Source organism: Homo sapiens, chromosome 10 (genome assembly GCF_000001405.40).
Source record: "Homo sapiens chromosome 10, GRCh38.p14 Primary Assembly".
Classification (NCBI taxonomy): Eukaryota; Metazoa; Chordata; class Mammalia; order Primates; family Hominidae; genus Homo; species Homo sapiens.
The window spans coordinates 28,048,577-28,069,193 of record NC_000010.11 but is presented as its reverse complement, the minus strand read 5'-3'; the positions used below and the strand labels follow the sequence as shown (position 1 = coordinate 28,069,193).

The following is a 20,617-nucleotide window of genomic DNA, read 5'->3' as shown; positions in this document are numbered from 1 at the left end:
TTAAGTTGTTATTGACTATAGTGACCCTGTTGTGCTATCAAATAGATCTTCTTCATTCTTTGTAACTATTTTCTTTTTGTACTCGTTAATAATGATTGCTTAGTACTTACCAAGCACGTATGGTATCAAGCACTGTTCTGAGCACTCACTCATCTAGACCTCCCAGCTGCCCCAAGAAGTATATAGTGACATTATCCCCATGTTACAGAGGAGGAAACCAAGGCAAAAATGGTTAAAGGATTTGCGCTAAATTACACAGATTTTTGGCAGAATATTTGTTAATCACAGCTTCCCTACTCTTAGGTTTTTATGATGAATTTTAGTACACATATGACATCAAATTATTACTTACAAATTTTCTTCTAAATAAAAGTCTAACAATTCTGTTTCCTAAAATAAGTGCTAATGTTTTCCAGAGTTTTTCACCAGCTTTAAGATTAGAAGAATCAAATCACAGAGAGCTGAAGGAGACTTAATTATAATATAAACCTTTCTTAATTACTTTTTATATGTAGTAATTGGCAGATGATGTTAAATGGGCTTTTCATGGCTATATAGTTTAAATATGGTAAGCTTCTTTTCAGTACACAGAATTAGATTTATTTTTATAAAAGTGGTTTTCATAGGCATTCTTACAAATAAAATGTGATGCTTGAAACATTTTGATCTGCAGAATAAAGGCCATTTGACTACTTAATATGTTGATAATAGAAAGCTGTCTAAAAGGCTAAATTGAAATGTTGGCTTTTTTCAAGCAGTTTTAGTACTGTTTTAAAAAATTTACTTGTATATTGCCCTTAGCGATGTTCTCTAGTTTTGGAAGAGTTCAACTTTATTTTAAAATTATAGTTTTCTGTGACCTCAAGTTCCTTCTTTTTACATTTTTCTAAATTATTGCTTGTAATCATTTTCAGTCACAAGTTATAGGACTGCTGCTTTCTACCAACAGAGATGAAAGTTAATGAAAATGTGGAACTAGACATTTTTTTTGCCTGTAATTATTCACCTCAATTACAAAAGCTGAATTGCAATATATAAGTTATTAGAAAATTTTACAAAATAATTTTTAAGCTTACAGGTGAGCAATTATAGAAGAGACCTAGAAGATGCAAAAACAGATTACAAAGAAAAAAAAACGAATTTTTAAACTTCCTACTGTGTATTCATCTCCTTTGTTTGTCTTAATTTTTGTAGCCTTCCCAGTCAAGTATAAGATGGTTGATATTATCTCTATTTCACAGAGAAGGAGATAGGGATAGAAAGGATATGTTGACTTGAGTTCCATAGATGATAGGTGCACTTGGATTCGAAACCAAGTTTTTTTTGATACCAGTTCTCATGTTCTTCCTCCTATATTAACACTAGCAATCCTTTAAAACTACAGACTATCTTTGTTGTATTCCAGTAAGTAGTCAAAACTGACTTCTTTTGAAGATGAGAAATATCCATAAGCCAATCTATCCCATGTAACTCCCTATGAGAGATGTGATATTATGGAAGGACCTAGGGCAACAAACATACTTTAGCCTCAATTTACCCAGCTGTTTAAATGTTTGCCTCTGAAGTTGTTATAGAAGTTGACAATATTACAGAAAGGTTGTGGGACTGGGACTCTCCAAAGAAATCCCCAAAGTAGTTATTTTTCACTCTGATTTACTTTTAGACAGATATCAATGTCAAAATGTCTTCATATAGTAATGTTTCACTGGCTTGCCTGATGATAAGATTCTCATGGAGTTCTATAAAAAGATATGCCCAAGTATCTGTATTTATAGCATGTTTGGAAAATACCGCATCAAACCAGCGTGATTTAATTAATTAAAGAAGAATATATTTTAAGAGTAATTTTAGAATTTCAGGTAGTTTTGCTTTGTAAAATACTTTGGGCAGAATCTTGAATATTGGAGAAAAATGATTGCTTTGCTTATACCACCAGTATTGTTTGATGTTTATTTCTATAATTCTCTTTTTGAAAGCATGTATTACATATCCACCAGAAAAAGTTATGGAGCAAAGGAACTCCTGCACATTGCTGATGGGAATGTAAATTAACACAATCATTTTGGAAAACTAAGTAGCAGTATCCACTAAAGCTGAGCAAACACATACCCTTGACCCAGCAATTCCGCTCCTACTGCACACCCAATGGAAATGCATAAGTACGTTCACCAAAAGACACGTACTGAGCTATTCTTAGTCATTATTCATAAGAGCTCAGAACTGGAAACTACTCAAATGCTTATCATTTGAATGAATAAGTAAAATGGAGAAGTAAAGTATAGTATATGCATACAAAGTATAGTATATGCATACAATGGAATACTGTAAAGCAATGAGAATGAACAATCTTCAACTACATGCAACAATAAGAATGAATCCCGCAAATGTGTTGAACAAAAGGAGGCAGACACAAGAGAATGAATGAGGCAGCGTGATTTCATTTTTATAATTGCAATAAAGGCAACATTCATGTGTGCTGTTAGAAATCTCAAGGATTTGGGTTAGAACAGGAACTCAAGAGGTGATTCTGGAGTGCTAGCAATTTTCTGCTTCTTGTTAGAGTGCTGGCTACATGGGGGTGTTAAACACTTTTATGTGTATATATATCAGTTATTGTATAATACTCAGGCTTTAAATGTTAAAAAGAAATAATAGTTTAACTGTAGTTTGCTGATTTTCTGGTTTTCCTAAAGTGCTATAGTTATGTAAATATTTCAAGAGGAAGCTGAGTGATTTTACATGGGACCTGTCTGTACTATTTTTGTAACTACTTGTGAATTTGTAATTACTTTAATTTAAAAACATTATTTAAATGGATGCTAAATCAGGTACTCGAGCTAAAGTGGCTGAATGAGCTATATGAAATGTTTAAAAATTATCCATGTAATAATATTAAACATTCAAAGTTGCTTTTCAAGAAAGTGGTGGCTGAAACCCTTGCTTTCTGTCTTTTGCTCCTCTGTGGGAAGTTTCTTATTGATTGATTGATTGTAGAGATGGAGTCTCACTATGTTGCCCAGGCTAATCTCAAACTCCTGGCCTCAGATGATCCTCCTGCCTCAGCCTCCCAAAGTGCTGAGATTATAGTTGTGAGCCAACATGCCCAGCCTGTGGGAAATTTCCTCCTTGAAAAGCAACATCAACATTGTTTTAAGGCTGTATAGGTTATCATCAATAAATCTGAATGACTATTAATACAACCAGTCAAAAGGGTCTCTTGTACATTAAATTAAAATAAAATAGGTAACAAAAATTATTATGGTAGACATCAAATATTTGATAGCTTCCAAAATCTCTGTAGTCTAGAATTTGGGCATTCTAAGTCAACCACATCTATTAATCACTTTCTGTGGTTCTCAGAAAGATGTATATTGCAGTTTTTGTGTTTTTGTAGGTTTTAAAGCATCCATGTTCTAGACAACTTGTTTGTCCATACAATACTTCACTTGAATTTTCTTTAAAAATAAAAAAAAGGCATTATAACTAGGGTACCAGTTTAAACTTTTTTTCCGTATCTCCCCAGGACAGCTATTTTGGGATATTTTGGGGACATGGGAAGAGGGCTCCTATTTTGTTTTCTATTTTGCCTTAACTGGTATACATAGTGGGTACTCAGTGAGCTGTGATGGAGTCGTGCCTGCCTTGTGGGTAATATGCACATCTTTCCCTTGGAATCTCCTTCACATAAGAATTTCAGATCTCTTATTCAGTATTCCTTGTTGTGAATGAGTTCATGAGGTTCCTGTGGAACTCATTACAATTAGGCACTGACATTCTTTGTCAGTAAAATAACATCAGACCTAGGTAATTCAGGTTGATTATGATAAGCAAACAATTTGGTTGTAGACACATTACCTTTTAAATGCATGTGGCAGTGTCATAAATGTCTTGTTCAATTACCCCTTGATGTGGTTCTAAAAGTATTTTAACCCTGCTGTGGGATGCCGTGTGTCAGGGAAGTGATCTTTCAACCATGTGTTGCAGATTTTCAACCAAAGTGTCCTGCCATCATAATTGAATAAAAACAATCTTTTCTCTGTCCGTAAGAAAGAAATCAATGCACAGAAAATTCTCAATTTGATTTTCAACAATACTTTTTACTTAGGCTTACTATTTGCTAAAGGAACACACTAGCAAATAGCAACAACACAACTGATTAAGTAATGAATGAATATTAAGCCTAAACTCCAAAGCAGGGCATTATACTAATTTTAATATATCTCATGTTTTTGGATATTAATCGTGTTATATACCCTCAGTAGGGTATTTTTCTGCTGCAAAACTTTAGTGTTTGTGATAGAGTACAATGTACCAGTTTAGAAGACAGTGCACCAGTACTTCATGCTATTCCTGTAAAGAGTGTGACATTTCATTTTAAAGACTAGCACTACCTCTTGGTGCACCACCTGCAGAACAGGTATGAAAAACTGTTTCAAGAGATCTGAGCATTGTATTAAAATATTCTTGCTAACTAAATAAAAGGGAATTAAGCTTTGGGATATAACTTAAATTAGTTGGATTTTATAAATTCATTACTTTTTCTATTAAGTTACATTTTCCGTACTTCTCAGATTCTTTTTTATAACATCAAGATGTAATTGGAATAAACTGCACATATTTAAAATGTGCAATTACATCAGTTTTAGCATCTGCGTACACATGTGAAAACATCAGCACAGTCAACATAATGAATGTTTCCATCTCAAAAAATTTCCTTGTGCCCTTGGTAATCCAGTCTTCCACCCTGTTCCCAGGCAACACTGATCTGCGTTCTGTCACAATAGATTATTTGGAATGATTTAGTATGTTATCTAAATAGGATTATACAGTATGCATCCACTTTTTTCTTTGCCAGACTTTTTCCACTCAGCATAATGAATGTAAGATTCACCCATGTTGTCTCCTACATCAATAATTCATTCTTTTTCATCCCTTTTCATGCTGAATAGCATTCCATTGTATAGAACTACTACAATTTGTCTATCCATGCACCTGTTGATGAGGATTTAGGGGTTTCTTCCTCTACCCCTATTTTTGGCTATTATAAATAAAGTTATTACAAGGTTTTTGTACAAGTCTTTTGACAAATATGTTTTTGTTTCTCTTGGCCAACTATGTAGGAGTGGAATGCTGAGGCCATACGGTTTAATTTTTTGAGAAACTACTAAACTGATGTCCAAAGTGGTTATACCATCTTACAAACCTCTAGTAGCGTATGTGAGCTCCAGGTGCTTCACATCCTTGCCAACACTTGGTGTAGTCAGTCTTCTAAACTTTTGTCAATGTAGTAAGTACGTAGTGGTATCTCATACTTCAGTTTGCATTAACTAATGACTAGCATAATTTTATGCAGCGGTCCCCAAACTTTTTGGCATCAGGGACCAGTTTCACAGAACCACAGAAGACAGTTTTTCCACAGACAGGGCAGGAGGGGATGGTGTCAGGATGAAACTGTTCCACCTCAGATCATCAGACATTAGATTCTCATAAGGAGTACCCAATCTAGGTCTCTCACACGTGCAGTCCACAATTCGGTTTGTGCACCTAATGCCGCTGCTGATCTGACAGGAGGAGGAGCTCAGGTGGTAATGCTCCTTTGCCTGCCTGTCGCTCACCTTCTGTGTGGCCTGGTTCCTAACAGGCCACAGACTGGTGTGGCCTGGGGATTGGGGACCCCCGATCTTCTTTGGTAAAGTGCGTGTTCAAATCTTTTGACTTTTTTTTTTTTTTTTGAGACAGAGTCTTGGTCTGTCACACAGGCTGAAGTGCAGTGGTGTGATCTTGGCTCACTCCAACCTCCACCTCCTGGGTTCAAGTGATTCTCCCACCTCAGCCTCCCGAGTAGGTGGGATTACAGGTGTGTGTGCCACCATGCCTGGATAATTTTTATATTTATAGTAGAGGTGGGGTTTCACCATATTGGCCAGGATGGTTTCGAGCTCCTGGCCTCAAGTGATCCACCTGCCTCAGCCTCCCAAAGTGTGGGATTACAGGTATGAGGCACTGTGCCTGGCCCATTTTTAAAAACTGGACTGTTTGTCTCGTGACTGAGTTTTGAGAGTTCTTTACATACTGTTGGATACATGTCCTTCATCTGATAAATGTGTTACACATATTTTCTTCCAGTCTGTGGCTGACCTTTTCATTTTTTTTTTAATGGTGTCTTTTAAAAAGCAAAAGTGTTTAATTTTGATGAAATCTAATTTATCAATCTTTCTTTTATGTTTTGTAATTTTTCTGTTCTATGTAAAAGTTCCTTGCTATCTCAAGGTTGCAAAGACATTCTCCTGTTTTCTTCTCGAAGTTTTACAGTTTTAGGTTTTACATTTAGGTCTTGACCCATTTCGAGTTATTTTTCATGTTGTTACTTAGCAAACTTGCCTTGCTCCTGATCTCAGGGGAAAACAGCTCCATCCTTTACCATTAATATAACGTTGACTTTATCAGTTTGAGGACATTCTTGTTACTCCTAGTTTGCTGAGACTGTTGTGAATGGTGTCGAAGTTTTTAAAAAATGCTTTCTTTGCATACGTTGAGATGATTGTTTTGTCTGCCATTATTCTCTTAATGCTGTGAATTCTACTGCTTTTCTAATATTAAAGCCAACCTTTGGTGTGTGTGTGTGTGTGTGTGTGTGTGTGTGTGTGTGTGTGTGTGTGTGTTTACTATTATGGAAATGATTGAATTTAAGCTACTATTTTATTATTTGTTTTCTGTTTGTCTCTTCTGTATTTTATTGTATTTTTCTTCTTTTTCTGCCTTCTTTTGGATTATTTTAGTGTTTTTTAATTTCCATTTTAATCTACTTGTTGACTCTCTGGTGGTATCTCTGGATTAGCTTTTTACTGGTTGCTCTGAATATTAATGTATGCATATCTAACCATTCATGACCTGCTTGCAGTTTAACTTGGTGTCATTTCACATAAAATACAGAAACCTGGCAGCCATTTAAGACCCTTTCCCCCAGCCTAATCTTTTTGTTTTAGGTGTCAAATGTATTACATTTGCATACATTGAAAACTATCAGACAATATTATAACTTTTCTTTAAAATAGTCATATATATCTTAATGAACTTAACAGGAAAAAAGTAGACGTTTACATTTACACAATTATTTGTTCTTTCCTCATTCCTGAATATAAAAGTTTCCTTTTTATCATTTATCTTCAGCCTAAAAAACTTCCTTGAATATTTTTTTTGAACAGTCGGCTGTGAATTCTGTTAGTTTCTCTTCATCTGAGGAGGTCTTTATTTTGCCTTTATTCTTGAAACACATTTTGATTAAGTATTTTCCTTTAGTGCTTTAAAGATATTATTTCATTGATTTCTTATTTTTATGATTTATAATAAATCTGTGACAGTTTAAATCATTATTCACTTATGTGTTCAGTGTTTTTTCCTAGCTGCTTTGAGATTTTTTATTTATCTTTGGCTTTTAATAGTTTGATTATAATGTGTCTAGGCATAATTTTTCCCTTCTGAGTGTATCCTGTTTGGGATTTGCTGAGCTGCTGAAATTGGTAAGTTTATGTATTTCACCAAATTATAGAAGTTTGGGGCCTTTATTTCTTCAAACATATTTTTCTGCCCCAATCTCTTTTTTCCTCTCCTTCTAGTACTCCTATGACATATGTGTTTTCTCATAGGTCCCTGGAGTTCTATCTATATTTTTTAAATCTTGTTGTTGTTGTTGTTGTTTAGATTATATAATTTTATTGTTCTGTCTTCAAGTTCACTGGCTTTTCTTTCTGTCATTCTGTTATTGTGCCCATCTAGTGATTTGTTTCTGTTGGATATTTTTATTTTTCATTTCTACAATTTCTATTTGTTTTTTTCTTTATAGTTTCTGTTCTTCTGCTAAGAATTTATATTTTTGTTCAATTCAAGTATATTTTCTCTTACCTTTTCAAGCTTAGTTATGGTACCTGTTTGAAAGACTTATGTCTAATCTAACTTCCAGGTCATTCAGGGTTGCTATCTGTTATCTTTCCCCTTGAAAATTGGTGTTTTTTTTGTTTTGTTTTGTTTTTTTTTGTTTTTGGTTCTTTCATGTTGAATAATTTCAGATTGCATTTTGGACATTGTGAATATAATGTTGTATTAACACTAGGTCTTGTTACCATATTCGGGAGAATGTTGATGTTTTTATTTTAGCTGCCAGCTTCTTTTATCTCACCTTTGTTATATTGATTTGGGTCTGTTAGGATGCAAGGATTAGTCTAAGACTTGTGTGCATGGTTCAGATCTCAGCTCAGTTCTTTAAGCCTTTTCTTCATTGGCTTAGATATGTTTTGCGATACTCTTTTTCAGGGGTTAGGCTGAAACCTGTACATTCCACTCTCAGTTCATAAGGCCTTTGCCGTGCTGGTTTGAGTTTGAACTACATGTGTGTAGCACAGAGAGGATTCTTAGACTATTGTTGACTCATACACAGAAGTGAAGTATTTTCTTCTCCAGCTTTCTTCTCTCCTGGATTTCCTCCACACTTTACAGCCCACAAGGACTTTTTCTACCCCCCGTCCCAAGTTCTTTGCACCAGAACGTTAGGGCTTCTCTTGGCATTTTGCTGCAGATTCTACCATGCTGCTCTGCGAAGGATTCCCACCCTTGGGGCAAAGCTAAGAGGAAAATAGAGTTAAACTCCTCCCCGTGCAGTTTGACTCCCCTCTACAGTCTACCTGCTTTACTTATTTTCAAAGTGTTCGGGTAGTTTCTTGGCATCCATAGTTTTTAGTTGGGATCTGCAGGAAGGATGGCCTGTAGTGGGTTTACATTTGCCATGTCAGCACTGGAGTGCCTTGGGCTTTGTTCATGTTGTCGTTTTAATGAATCCTATATTTTCTGCTCCATTTTAGTTCGTTAATAAATAATTAGGCAAGATTACTGAAAGGTTAGAAGTTCAATAGTATTCTAAGATGATGCTATTTATGACTTTGCAAAGGAGGAATGAGTAGCACACAGAAGTATTTGGCTTCACTTGGCTGGTAAAACAAAACTTTGATGGCATACCCACTATGTCCCATGAGAAGAAGAGAGTCAAACAGTTTCAGAGTTTATCTAACAACTTAGTGGTTAATAGATTTGCTTTAATGAATGAAGATCAATAAAGATAATAAGCATATTATTTGCAAAAAAAAAAAAAAGGTTTTTTTCCTCAGGAGTTTAAATAGCACTCTTGTATCAGGTTAGAGAGCCTTCAAAATAGCAAATAATAGCAGAGACATACAATGCAATTAACTTTTTAACCCATCTTCAAATCAATATAATTTTAATAACAGTGGAAAATCTGGATTTATAACAGCTTACTGTATTTTATTAGCTAATTTGCTTTTTAAATACATTTTTAAATCCTGTTGAAAAAACTAATTAAATACCCTTGATTTCTTTTTTAGTATTTTCCTTAAGGTGGCTGATGTGGGCTTTTCTAAACTCCTTTTCATTAAATCATAGATACCACCAGAGCAAGAAGAAGCCAGGAGAGTGATGGTGTTGAATACATTTTCATTTCCAAGCATTTGTTTGAGACAGATGTACAAAATAACAAGTATGTGGACATTTTTGAGAATTTTCATGTGACTGTTTTTTATAAGCACATGCCTGTCCCGTTTTAGACAACTGAGAGTTCTCCATTTGAAGTGTATTTTAATTATCATAATAATATTTGAAACAGATGAAAAGGTAATAATTTGGTTGGTAATTATTGTTAATCTTCACCTCTAATTTTTTAGTAACCTGGATTTGCTTCATTTCTATAAAATGTGTAGACACTGCTTTGCAGAATGAGGGAAGGTTGCAAGTGTCTTATTCTGACCTCCTTCCAGCCCACTAATTGAATCTTAACATGTAATTTGGATAGAATTTTACTTCAAAAACCAACAACTATGTAGTATATCACTAGGTCCAGCGTCTGCTTCACACACCTGCATCTCATTCTCTCATTGGCTCTTCAAAAAATTGAAATGATGATAATTAACTTGCTGGTACCGTCTTCTCTAGCTAGCTCCAAGCCCACCCCAGTGCCCCCTGCCCAGGTTTTCCATCTGCTGAGGCACAAATATTTTAGGCTATCAGAAGCAATATGTGTTTTAATGCAGGATTGTGGGATTTTATTAAAACATCGAAATGCTTTTTTCGTGTTTGGCGCAGTGATTGTGTTTTTATAGCACATGATCGACTGCCCTGGCTCCATTAGCCACCACCCAGCGCCTCTAGTTCTGAAGCTGGGCTGGGTTACTCCGTAGCGTGCAATGAAATTCCAGTAGTTTCTATTGTTTGGCTTATTCACCATTTTATTGCATTGCATTAGTTCTGAAGAAAAAGGGGGTGATGGAAAACATTAGAGCCCTACTAGACTAAAGTACTTTTTTTCTGCTTAAGTGTAATTTAAGCAAGTGTTACTGATTTGAAAATGTATAATAAAAGATTTTTTAAAAACTGACATTTTGAAATACTTGGCTCTGTTTATATTATTAAACACAGTTTAAAAAAATTACGTGTTCAGCAGAAACGTCTTTTACCTATGAATTTTATCTTGCCACCTATAATTGTTTTAAATTCACAAATGATTCCAATGCATTTAATTTTTTACAGGTTTATTGAATATGGAGAATATAAAAACAACTACTACGGCACAAGTATAGACTCAGTTCGGTCTGTCCTTGCTAAAAACAAAGTTTGTTTGTTGGATGTTCAGCCTCATGTAAGTAAACAATGAGCTATTCAATACCCTTCTGACCCATGTCATCTACAGCACCTCATGTGAGCATTTCAGTATGAAATAATATGAAGTCAACTCACTTTTGGCATATATGTGGCTTTTCTGAGATGGCAAAAGCATTTAAATATAATTGGAGACATCTTTGGTGGAGAAAAAGAAAAGCCCATAATATTATTAGAAAGAGAAGTGGAGGAAGCTCCAAGACCTGTGTTTGTAACTCTTATTTATATTCAGTTTTTGTCAAGTAAAGCAACTCTTAGATGTTTCTACATATTCTGTATTTTTAAAAAATACATCACATTGTTACATGCATAATGCATTCTTATGTGTTATGTATTAGTAACAGTGTCTATAATTTTTAACGATGGACATTTTGGTTCCAAGTCTTTGACTTTGGTTCTGTATATATCCTAGCAAATAACCCCCCACTAGAACTGAAGGGCATTTTGCAGGAAATGTACTGAATGAAAGCCCCATTGCAACTGCCATGTCTGCACCTGTCATCCTGGAAACTCCATTATGAACATTCTGAACTGAGAACTTCAGTGGATGAGGCCATTCAATTCCCTATCAAACCATACATCTTCCAGCAGATCCCCAGCCCACAGCATTTTCCTCATCCCCCAGGGACCATGGTTTCTCCTTCCACTGATGGCTGTACCCTGGGGTGCAAAACCTCCAAATGCTAGAATGACCTGCGGAAGCCCTTTGGACCTCTAAAGGAAGATGAATCTGGAGTAAAAGTGTTTCAAGAATCAGGAAGGCTGCCTCCTGACTTGGGCACTGTGTTAGTCCCTTGTTGCACTGCTCTGAAGAAATACCTGAAACTGGGTAATTTACTAAAAAAAAAAAAAAAAAAAAAAAAAAAAAAGAGGTTTAATTGGCTCACTGCTCTGCAGACTGTACAGGAAGCGTGATGCTGGCATCTGCTCAGCTCTGGGGAGGCCTCAGGAAACTTGCAATCATGGCGGAAAGCAAAGGAGGAGGGTTGAGCACTTCACATGGCCAGAGCAGGAGGAAGAGAGAGAGAGGAGCGAGGTGCCACACACTTTTAAACAACAGGGTCTCACGAGAACTGACTATTGTGATGACAGCACCAAGGGGGATGGTGTTAAACCCCGGGAAAATGCCCCTATGATCCAGTCACCTCCCACAGGCTGCACCTACAGCAGTGGGGATTACATTACAACATGAGATTTGGGTGTGGACACAGATCCAAACCATATCAGGCACCAACAGTGAATGGGACAGTCCTGCTTATGCAGAGCCTCTCTGCTGGTGTCCCAGGTCCAGTTGCTGTCAGACTCCCACAGTGTAGTATCAGCTCATGAATAATAACTTTCAGCTCTCACCCTCTGTAGATAGGTCCCCAGAAGTATAGAGTATAGAACATCAAAGATTTGATGAAGGAATCTAGACAGGCATCATGGAGAGCAGGAGGCTGCCCTTGTAGGGTACTCTGAAGGATAGGGTGAAAGAGGAGAACTCCTGCCTGAAATCAGAAAGGGGCTTAAAAGGGATGGTTGGAAGACATTTGTGGACAGAAAGTTATTTAACTCATCACACCTTTGGAATATTTGATCTAAAAACCAGTTTTGTGATATTTTTAGTCACTTCTGTTCAATGTTAATTATGATGTATTTCAGAACATTTTAAAATGCCAAGTTACATTCCCCAGCTTCTTTTCAGAAGTGTTTGTTACATTTAATTGTCAACAGTTAATTGAATAATAATATATTGAAATGACTACTGACCTTAAAGAATAATTTTGAGGAATTTTCTCCTAGAAAGAAAATTCAGTAATTCATGATGCTATGGAGAAATGTGAGAAAACTTTCTTTTCTTCCTTGTAGACAGTGAAGCATTTAAGGACACTAGAATTTAAGCCCTATGTGATATTTATAAAGCCTCCATCAATAGAGCGTTTGAGAGAAACAAGAAAAAATGCAAAGATTATTTCAAGCAGAGATGACCAAGGTGCTGCAAAACCCTTCACAGTAAGTATAATGATGCTTGGGGGCCAGGTGTGGTGGCCCACACCTGTAATCCCAGCACTTTGGGAGGCCGAAGCAGGAGGATCATTTGAGTCCAGGAGTTCAAGACCAGCCTGGCCAAGGTGGTGAAACCCCATCTCTACAAAAAATATGGAAATTAGCCAGGCATGATGGTTGGACACCTGTAGTCCCAGCTACTTGGGAGGCGGAGGTGGGAAGATCATAAGACCCCAGGAGACTGAGAGTGTAGTGAGCTGAGATCACACTACTACACTCCAGCCTGGTAGGCAGAGGTGGGAAGATCACAAGACCCCAGGAGACTGAGAGTGCAGTGAGCTGAGATCACACCACTACACTCCAGCCTGGGCGACAGAGTGAGACCCTGTCTCAACAACAACCACAAAAAGCTTGGAGATAAGATATAAGCAGTAGATAAGATGTAAGATACAGTTGTATATATGAAAACATATATACAGCTGCATGTACTTGGGAAGAGTATAATAGATACAAAAATCAGTGAAAGAATTGTATTTAGGTACATACCTTTTGAACAGTTACACTTCTTGTGCTTTGGTGAATGGATCTTCATATTCAATTGACTCAAAACTATTTTGTATACTATTATGTGAACATTTCATACTATTGTAGGCTGAACATTTGTATAAAATCTAGACCAATTAATTTTCAGAGCAGCCTTATTTTTAAAGCTAAAAATACCATCAGTAACTGTTACTCATTAAGAGTCCAAATGAAAAATTTAATAATGTGCCTTGCTTGTCTCCTTGTGTCAACAATTATATTTAGCACAGCAAAAGAAAATCACTATTTTGGGTATAGGATAAGTAGACCAATATTATTCAGCAATAATATTTGTATTTTCTATGAGTGTTATTGGAAATGATGATTGTGGTATATTCATGACTATTATGGGTTCTGGCAAGACCTTTTATTGTTTTTCTTCTTAATCTTAATATATTCTACCTTTGGACCAAAAATCAAAAGCAAAGAAATTAAATGTGAAGAGCTTATTTTTTTCTTGCCCCTCTTAATTAGCTCATCATTAACTTTAGTTTATATTAATTTATGAACTGTTCATTGTGGTTACAAAATACAGATCACATTTCTGATTCCCAGTATATTTGATAAATACCTTTTTTTACATGCCAACAGTACATATCCGTTCTGAGTAGGTACTGTCATACAATGTTAGTTACTCAGGCTCTTGATCAACACTAAAATTAAATTTTCTGTTATTGTGAAATCTTATGTGACAATGAAATGCAGACTCAAATTATTTCAGCATGTTGCAACATAAAGATTTATTGTACTATTTAGACATTTTAAAGGTTTCTCAACGAAGATAAGAAAGGATCACATATTCTTAGGATTTGGCTCTCTTACATTTATGTTATATAGCCAACTAAAATACTTCCTGGCTTTAAAAATGTGAGACACGAAGGCTCCTGAAACACTTTTAATGAGACATCGAAGGAACGTGGTAATCAGCCGGGCGTGGTGGCTCATGCCTGTAATCCCAGCACTTTGGGAGGCCGAGGCAGGTGGGGATCACTTGAGGTCAGGAGTTCCAGACCAGCCTGGTGAACATGGAGAAAATCCATCTGTACTAAAAATACAAAAATTAGCCAGGTGTGGCGGCACGCTCCTGTAATTCCAGCTACTCGGGAGGCTGAGGCAGGAGAATTGCTAGGACCCCGGAGGCAGAGGTTGCGGTGAGCCAGGATTGCACCACTGCACCCCAACCTGGGTGACAGAGTGAGACTCTATCTCAAAACAAAAAACAAAAAACATGGTAATCATCCTTTTACAAATTTGTCCAACTCTGAAAAAGGAGTTTATATTATAAATTCCTTCCTATGAATAAGCATAAATAATGCAGCCAAAACATCAGAGTAAACAATTCTTTTCTCCAATAGCTATTTTAATACTGACATTTCCCCATAATGATGACTAGTGACTCATTATCCTGCAATTCAGTTAAGGCAGGAGTTTTGACTCTTGCCAGAGTAGTTTTTTGTTACAAGCAAATCATAGAAATAGTATTAGAAATTATGGCTTCTGAAGCACTTGTGGTTAAAGAGGATGACTTTTATTTCTGGCTGAGGGGAAAGACTGAACACAGAACAGCATTAGGTAAACCAATTGTAGAATGTTTGCATTGATATGAAGTGAGGTAATGGCCTGGTTAACCAATTATTTTTTTAATACTTCCTTTTGTAGGAAGAAGATTTTCAAGAAATGATTAAATCTGCACAGATAATGGAAAGTCAATATGGTCATCTTTTTGACAAAATTATAATAAATGATGACCTCACTGTGGCATTCAATGAGCTCAAAACAACTTTTGACAAATTAGAGACAGAGACCCATTGGGTGCCAGTGAGCTGGTTACATTCATAACTAAGAGAAATTTCCATAATTGTCTTTTTCTATAGAGTGCATGATGAAATCAATTACAGTTTTGGTAGTAGGGTTTTTAAATCTATATCACTGTCATAGATGTACAATCTTGGTTCAAGTTGAATGCTGGTTTTGTTTGTATCTTTTTACAGCCTTATTTCAAACGCCATGTGTTAGTATAAGATCCGAAATCAAAATATGCACAGTACTGTATTCTAAGCAAAACCTCAAACCTTCTCGTTGTCTTCAATACCGCTCTATCTCCAAGATGAGGCTGAAATTTTCAGAGAGACTTAGCTAGAGGCTTAGTATGTATGGGAGTTCAGCGCTTCTGCTGGTCTCAGGTGTGGCTGCTGCTGTCGAGTTTGAATGTTAGCTGTTGAAGGTATCAATTCAGCAGCCATGAGCAGCTCCAGACAGACAGGTGAGCTCTGCTGTTTCTGGGTGGATCATCACAGATTTAGCCGGGCAGGCAGTAAGGTGTCCTCTTACTATTCAAAAAGTGTAGACTTTCTTACATATTCGCAATACGTTCACAGTGTGTGCATTTTAAAATAATTCTTAAAGGAGTAACTGAAATTTTACCTTGAGTGAATGGCCTTCATAATATAGCTTGAGAAGTCCTTTTGAGTACCTGTCAGTGACTCAACAACATTTAATAAGGGAAAGTAGACTTTTAACAGTTATTATATATGTAACGAAAAGCCTTTCCTTTGGGATTAATATAAGTAAGAATGGTAGCCTTGTGGCAAGAAATGATTACAAAGGATATTTTTATTTGTAATTCCTCAGAAGACAATTTATGAAGTCACCCAAAATGTTATTTTAGCTGGTTTTGGATTTTTCCAATAAATTAGAAGAAGGATTTCTATTCTAAAACATGTAAAACCTGTTTTACATATTACTGATACAATTAAAGATTATTTTTCATCTATGTGCAATAGATCACCCCTCTTTAAATTGCTCTAAGATTTATTTTAGAAAACTTTTCATGTGATGTTATTTCTTTGTCATCAAAATGCTTGTTAACACTGTCCAGACACCATCCTAACCTTGCCATTGTTAAAGAAGTTTAGGAAAGACTCTTATATTGTAAATATTTAGATGGGTTCTCTCACTTTTCTTTGATACTACTGATTTTCAGCAAGTGAATTATATAATTCAAAATGCTAGAAATGTCTATCCGTTCTATAAGAGAGCATATCCTGCCGTTCTTGCATGCAGTGAAGCCCTGCCCGTCGAAAATCATTGCATCTGTGACTTTCAAAGTGGAAAAAAAAATGTTATTTTTTTGTTGATTTGTAAAGAGAGTTTAAATGTCATGTGAAAAAAAATAGAATGTAGTAAAATTCTATATATTTATGAAATATTTTAAAGGCATATTTTTTTAAATATCAAACGGGGCTATTCATAAAATAAACTGATTGTATGTCAAGATGTCCTAATTTAAAAGAGTAGTTTTATAAATCATGGTCAACATTCCATGTAAATATTTGAGCTTTACAAAGATAGATCCAAGTGTGCGATCTGTGCACTGCACATTTGATAGCATTATTCACTGGTTTTCCTTCATACTTGTCAAGTTCATATTAGAAGCAGAGACAAAAACCACTCCAATGGCCTTGACACATAGTCACACCAAAATAGATAATCAGACTAAGTATTATATAACAACGTGATCCAGACAGTGAGTTCTAAGTGTATTAATTAAATAGCAAAAAATTTTGTTTTTAAAAAATGAAAGAGGGAGGGTTGCCAACCTGAAGTCTTAAGTAGATTGTTTGGGTAGCATATTTCCTTCTTTGAACATTGTCTGAAATTTTCTATAAATCAAGACTTCTTGTACAAAGAATGATGGGACATATGTAATAATTCAGGCAATCACCTGAGTAATTTAGGCAGTCCAAATTCTTTACCCTGAAATACCCACATTTTAAAAAAATTGCAGATAATTGCTTCAGTTATTTACTTTGGGGACAGAGATATAGTGTAAAGTGGGAGAAACTGAGTCCTTTTTTGGTGGTGGTAATAATAAGATGTTATAAAAATATAACATTTTAAAAAAGAAAGGTCCAGACCTTAAGCGCAGAGCTAGAACAATATTTTTTAAATAATGGGGGGAAAAGGGGGCACTTTGGTAATTTTAGAAATCAGGTAGTATACTTTTTTTTTTTTTTTTGAGACAGGGTCTTGCCATGTTGCTCAGGCTGGTCTTGAACTCCTGGGCTCAAGCAATCCTCCTGCCTTGGCCTCCCAAAGTGCTGGGATTACAGGCATGATCCACCGTGCCCAGCCGGTAGACGTGGTCTTAAAAACAGTGTTTACATGGCCATCTTGATGCTTAGAAAGATAATTGATTAAAATTTAATAAGGCAGGGCCAACTCCGAGAGTTCATTGACAACGGCAGCAAAAAGGCCCTGAATTCTGTACTTTCTTCCCCCAGCCTCCTTCTCCAGCAAGGAGAATAGCACTCCTCCCTCCAGAAGCCAGCTCCCTAAGTTGGAGCCACTATGTAAGAGAAGAGGAACGTTCACTTTTTAAAATTCATATATTTAAAAATCAAGACCAAAAAGTAAATTCTGTACTCCTATTATTGACTGTAGTCAATCAAACATAAAAAGGTGAAAGTAAAATTTAATTTTTTACCCTTATTTTACTGACCAATATGGAAGTTCTTGGTATCTTTAAGGCTGACCTTCCTGGTATTGTGTAATGATTGAATGTATCTAAACTGTAATAATTTGAAACTGACAAACATAACCTTCTCAGACTTACAAAACTATGTTCTTTCTAAAGATACAGATTTTTATTATTTTATTTTGACTAGGAAGGATTTATAAATAAATGTAATGAAAAATCTTTGATCTTAATAAAGTACCTTCAAACAGTGTGTGTACTTACTTGAAAATTGTTTTTGCACTTGGATATTCTATTTTATTATACTACTATTGTGATCTATTCCATTATACTATTTCCCATGGTAGAACAAATTATATTTTCTACTGTGATATGAAGTGATGTAATTGAACTTGCCATGTCTAAAATTAAATTTCATATTTTTTTCAATCAAACACTGCTTTCATCGAGGCTGTTGGAGAGATGGAATTCACTAGTGTTGTTCTTACCCATACATTCCAGCAATTTAAAAATGTGGAGAACCTTAGTGGGAAGGAAGAATTAGGACCATCAATGATGGGAACACACCTCCCCCACTCCCCACCTCCTCTCCCTCCCTCCCACTAGGAATCAGTGTCACACATATCCTCTTCCTGAGCTCCAGTTAGGCGAAACTCAACTTTTTCAACTGTGCATATAGGAACAGATTGTCATCTGCTATGCAAACTAGCTAGCATTGGCCTTGCTTCAGTCCTCGAGCCAGTTAGCCCCAGCTGTGCATCCATAGAAAGGTTGCTCTGAAGAGCATTTAAAAGCATTTAAGAGCATGGGATCTGGAGTCAGAATTCTTCAGTTCACATTCTGATTTTGCCTGTTTCCAGCTCTGCAGCCTTGGGAAAAACACTGAACCTCTCTGTTTTTCATTTTCTCATCAGAAAAAAATAGGGACAAGAACAGTGATTACCTCATGGGATTGGTGTGGGCATGAAATGAAAGAATCCATGTATACTTAGAACAAAACCTGGGACAGAAGTGTTCAGTAATTGTGAGCTCCTGTTGTATAATGGTCATTATCATCACATCACACAATTTAAAAATAGCTGTGTAAGTATTCTCAATCACCCTACATAAACAGTTTTCCTATTAGTAAGCCCACTGGAAGTTTACAATAAATCATTTTTTAGAAGCTTTATTTTTTTTTTTGTTTATTTTTTTGAGATGGAGTCTCACTCTGTTGCCCAGGTTGGAGTGCAGTGGCGCGATCTTGGCTCACTGCAAGCTCCGCCTCCCGGGCTCACGCCATTCTCCTGCCTCAGCCTCCCAAGTAGCTGGGACTACAGGCGCCCGCCACCACGCCCGGCTAATTTTTTGTATTTTTAGTAGAGATGGGGTTTCACCTTGCTAGCCAGGATGGTCTCGATTTCTTGACCTTGTGATCTGCCTGCCTCAGCCTCCCAAAGTGCTGGGATTACAGGCGTGAGCCACCAGGCCTGGCCAGAAGCTTTATCATTTTTTTAAAAATTTCATAGCTTCCTACCAAGTGACACATCAGGAACTAATTAGGTAATCCCCAATAGGAAGTGAACCAATTTTTATTTTCAACCACTGGGTATGCAGTGTAACTGATAACAATTAGAAAGGAATGTCCCTTAGTTGTATTAATGCCATTTCTTCTACTGCCACCGTTTTATCCCCAAATGCGTGTTCAGTTACACTTAAGCTTCTGGAGGACAGAAAATATTTTACTTTTGTAACAGCTATCTTATACACATACACAGGCCTAATCACTGCCTGGCCAAATTGTACTTATTAATCATAGAACATCTTTATAATTTCCATACATGATCTCATTTAATCCCACAACTATCTTACATGGAAGATATTATCTTCATATTTTACAGTGGAGCAAACTGAGCAGCAGGGCTGGAGTACCTTGCCCAGGGTGACATTGGTGATGAGCAGTGGAATCAGGGCTGGAATGTCGTCTGGCATCCTCCAGCTCCACGCTGTTTCCACTGCATTGTGCTTTATCATGTTTCTGTAACTTGAGGTAAAGCTGGGAACAGGTTAAGATTTGGGTAATTAGAGGAATGATTGTTCATACTTATGCACATGCAGTTGGCAAATAATTTTCTCAAAACACTGTTGCTTTAGTCAGATACAACTTGATGTATCCATGCCTGTATAAGTGGGTTCCTCTTCAAACAATGGCTATTATCAGAAATGTATAAAAACCTTAGATAGCATACTATGAAATTTTCTGTTAAGTCTGCCTGAGTTCCAGTCCCTACTCAAGATTGGCCTCAGTCAATCATGATAATCTCCTTTTTGTAGTGATTTATCTGGGCCAGTCATGCTACCAGTTTGAGGTCGTGTCTGTTGGAGGAGCCATGAGAAAGACACATTTCCCTGATGTAAAGAAACAACTGCATGAAATGAAAATCCTTTATAGTCCTGCCCTCATCTTTCTGCTTGAGATGCTCAGTTGTGGTGCTTGTCAATATGACGGCCATAATCCTAACCCTACATCAGAGGATGATAAAGGCCAATGTACTAAGGATGACTGAGTGAAAAAGATCCTAAATCCATAATATTGAACTGCTGAACCAATCCTGGGACTTCCTTCCTCTAACTGTTAAATTAAAAAAAAAAAAGTTCTGATGGTTTAAGTCATTGCTTCCTTGCTGCTGAAAGCACTCCTAATTTGAAACAGTATTCATGAGCAACTCAGGCCATTCTCAATATCTACTTTTCACTTAGCAAAGGTTGTCCTTTTGCTCAGTGGTCACACACCCTGCAATGATACAATTACTGAGTGTTAATACACTCTATAGAATGGTCCAATGCAAGACGTTCCATTTAAATTTTATT

The 20,617-nt window shown here is 36.3% G+C and overlaps 1 protein-coding gene across 13 annotated transcripts in view; it reads left to right on the top strand.

Annotated features, from left to right (window-relative positions):
- Positions 1-18,201, top strand: part of MPP7 (MAGUK p55 scaffold protein 7) — a 284,211-nt gene extending 266,010 nt beyond the window's left edge. For 11 of the 13 annotated variants that reach the window (XM_047424647.1, XM_011519338.3, NM_001318170.2 and 8 more), the window contains 4 exons: positions 9,451-9,544; positions 10,591-10,699; positions 12,571-12,714; positions 14,950-18,201. In XM_047424647.1, the coding sequence (XP_047280603.1) occupies positions 9,451-9,544; positions 10,591-10,699; positions 12,571-12,714; positions 14,950-15,129 (527 nt within the window). In that variant the 3' untranslated portion in view covers positions 15,130-18,201. Of the gene's footprint in view, positions 1-9,450; positions 9,679-10,590; positions 10,700-11,344; positions 11,549-12,570; positions 12,715-14,949 lie in introns of all 13 variants that reach the window. The other 2 variants (NR_134518.2, NR_134517.2) reach the window with 2 other exon arrangements.
- Positions 18,202-20,617: the final 2,416 nt, after the last annotated feature.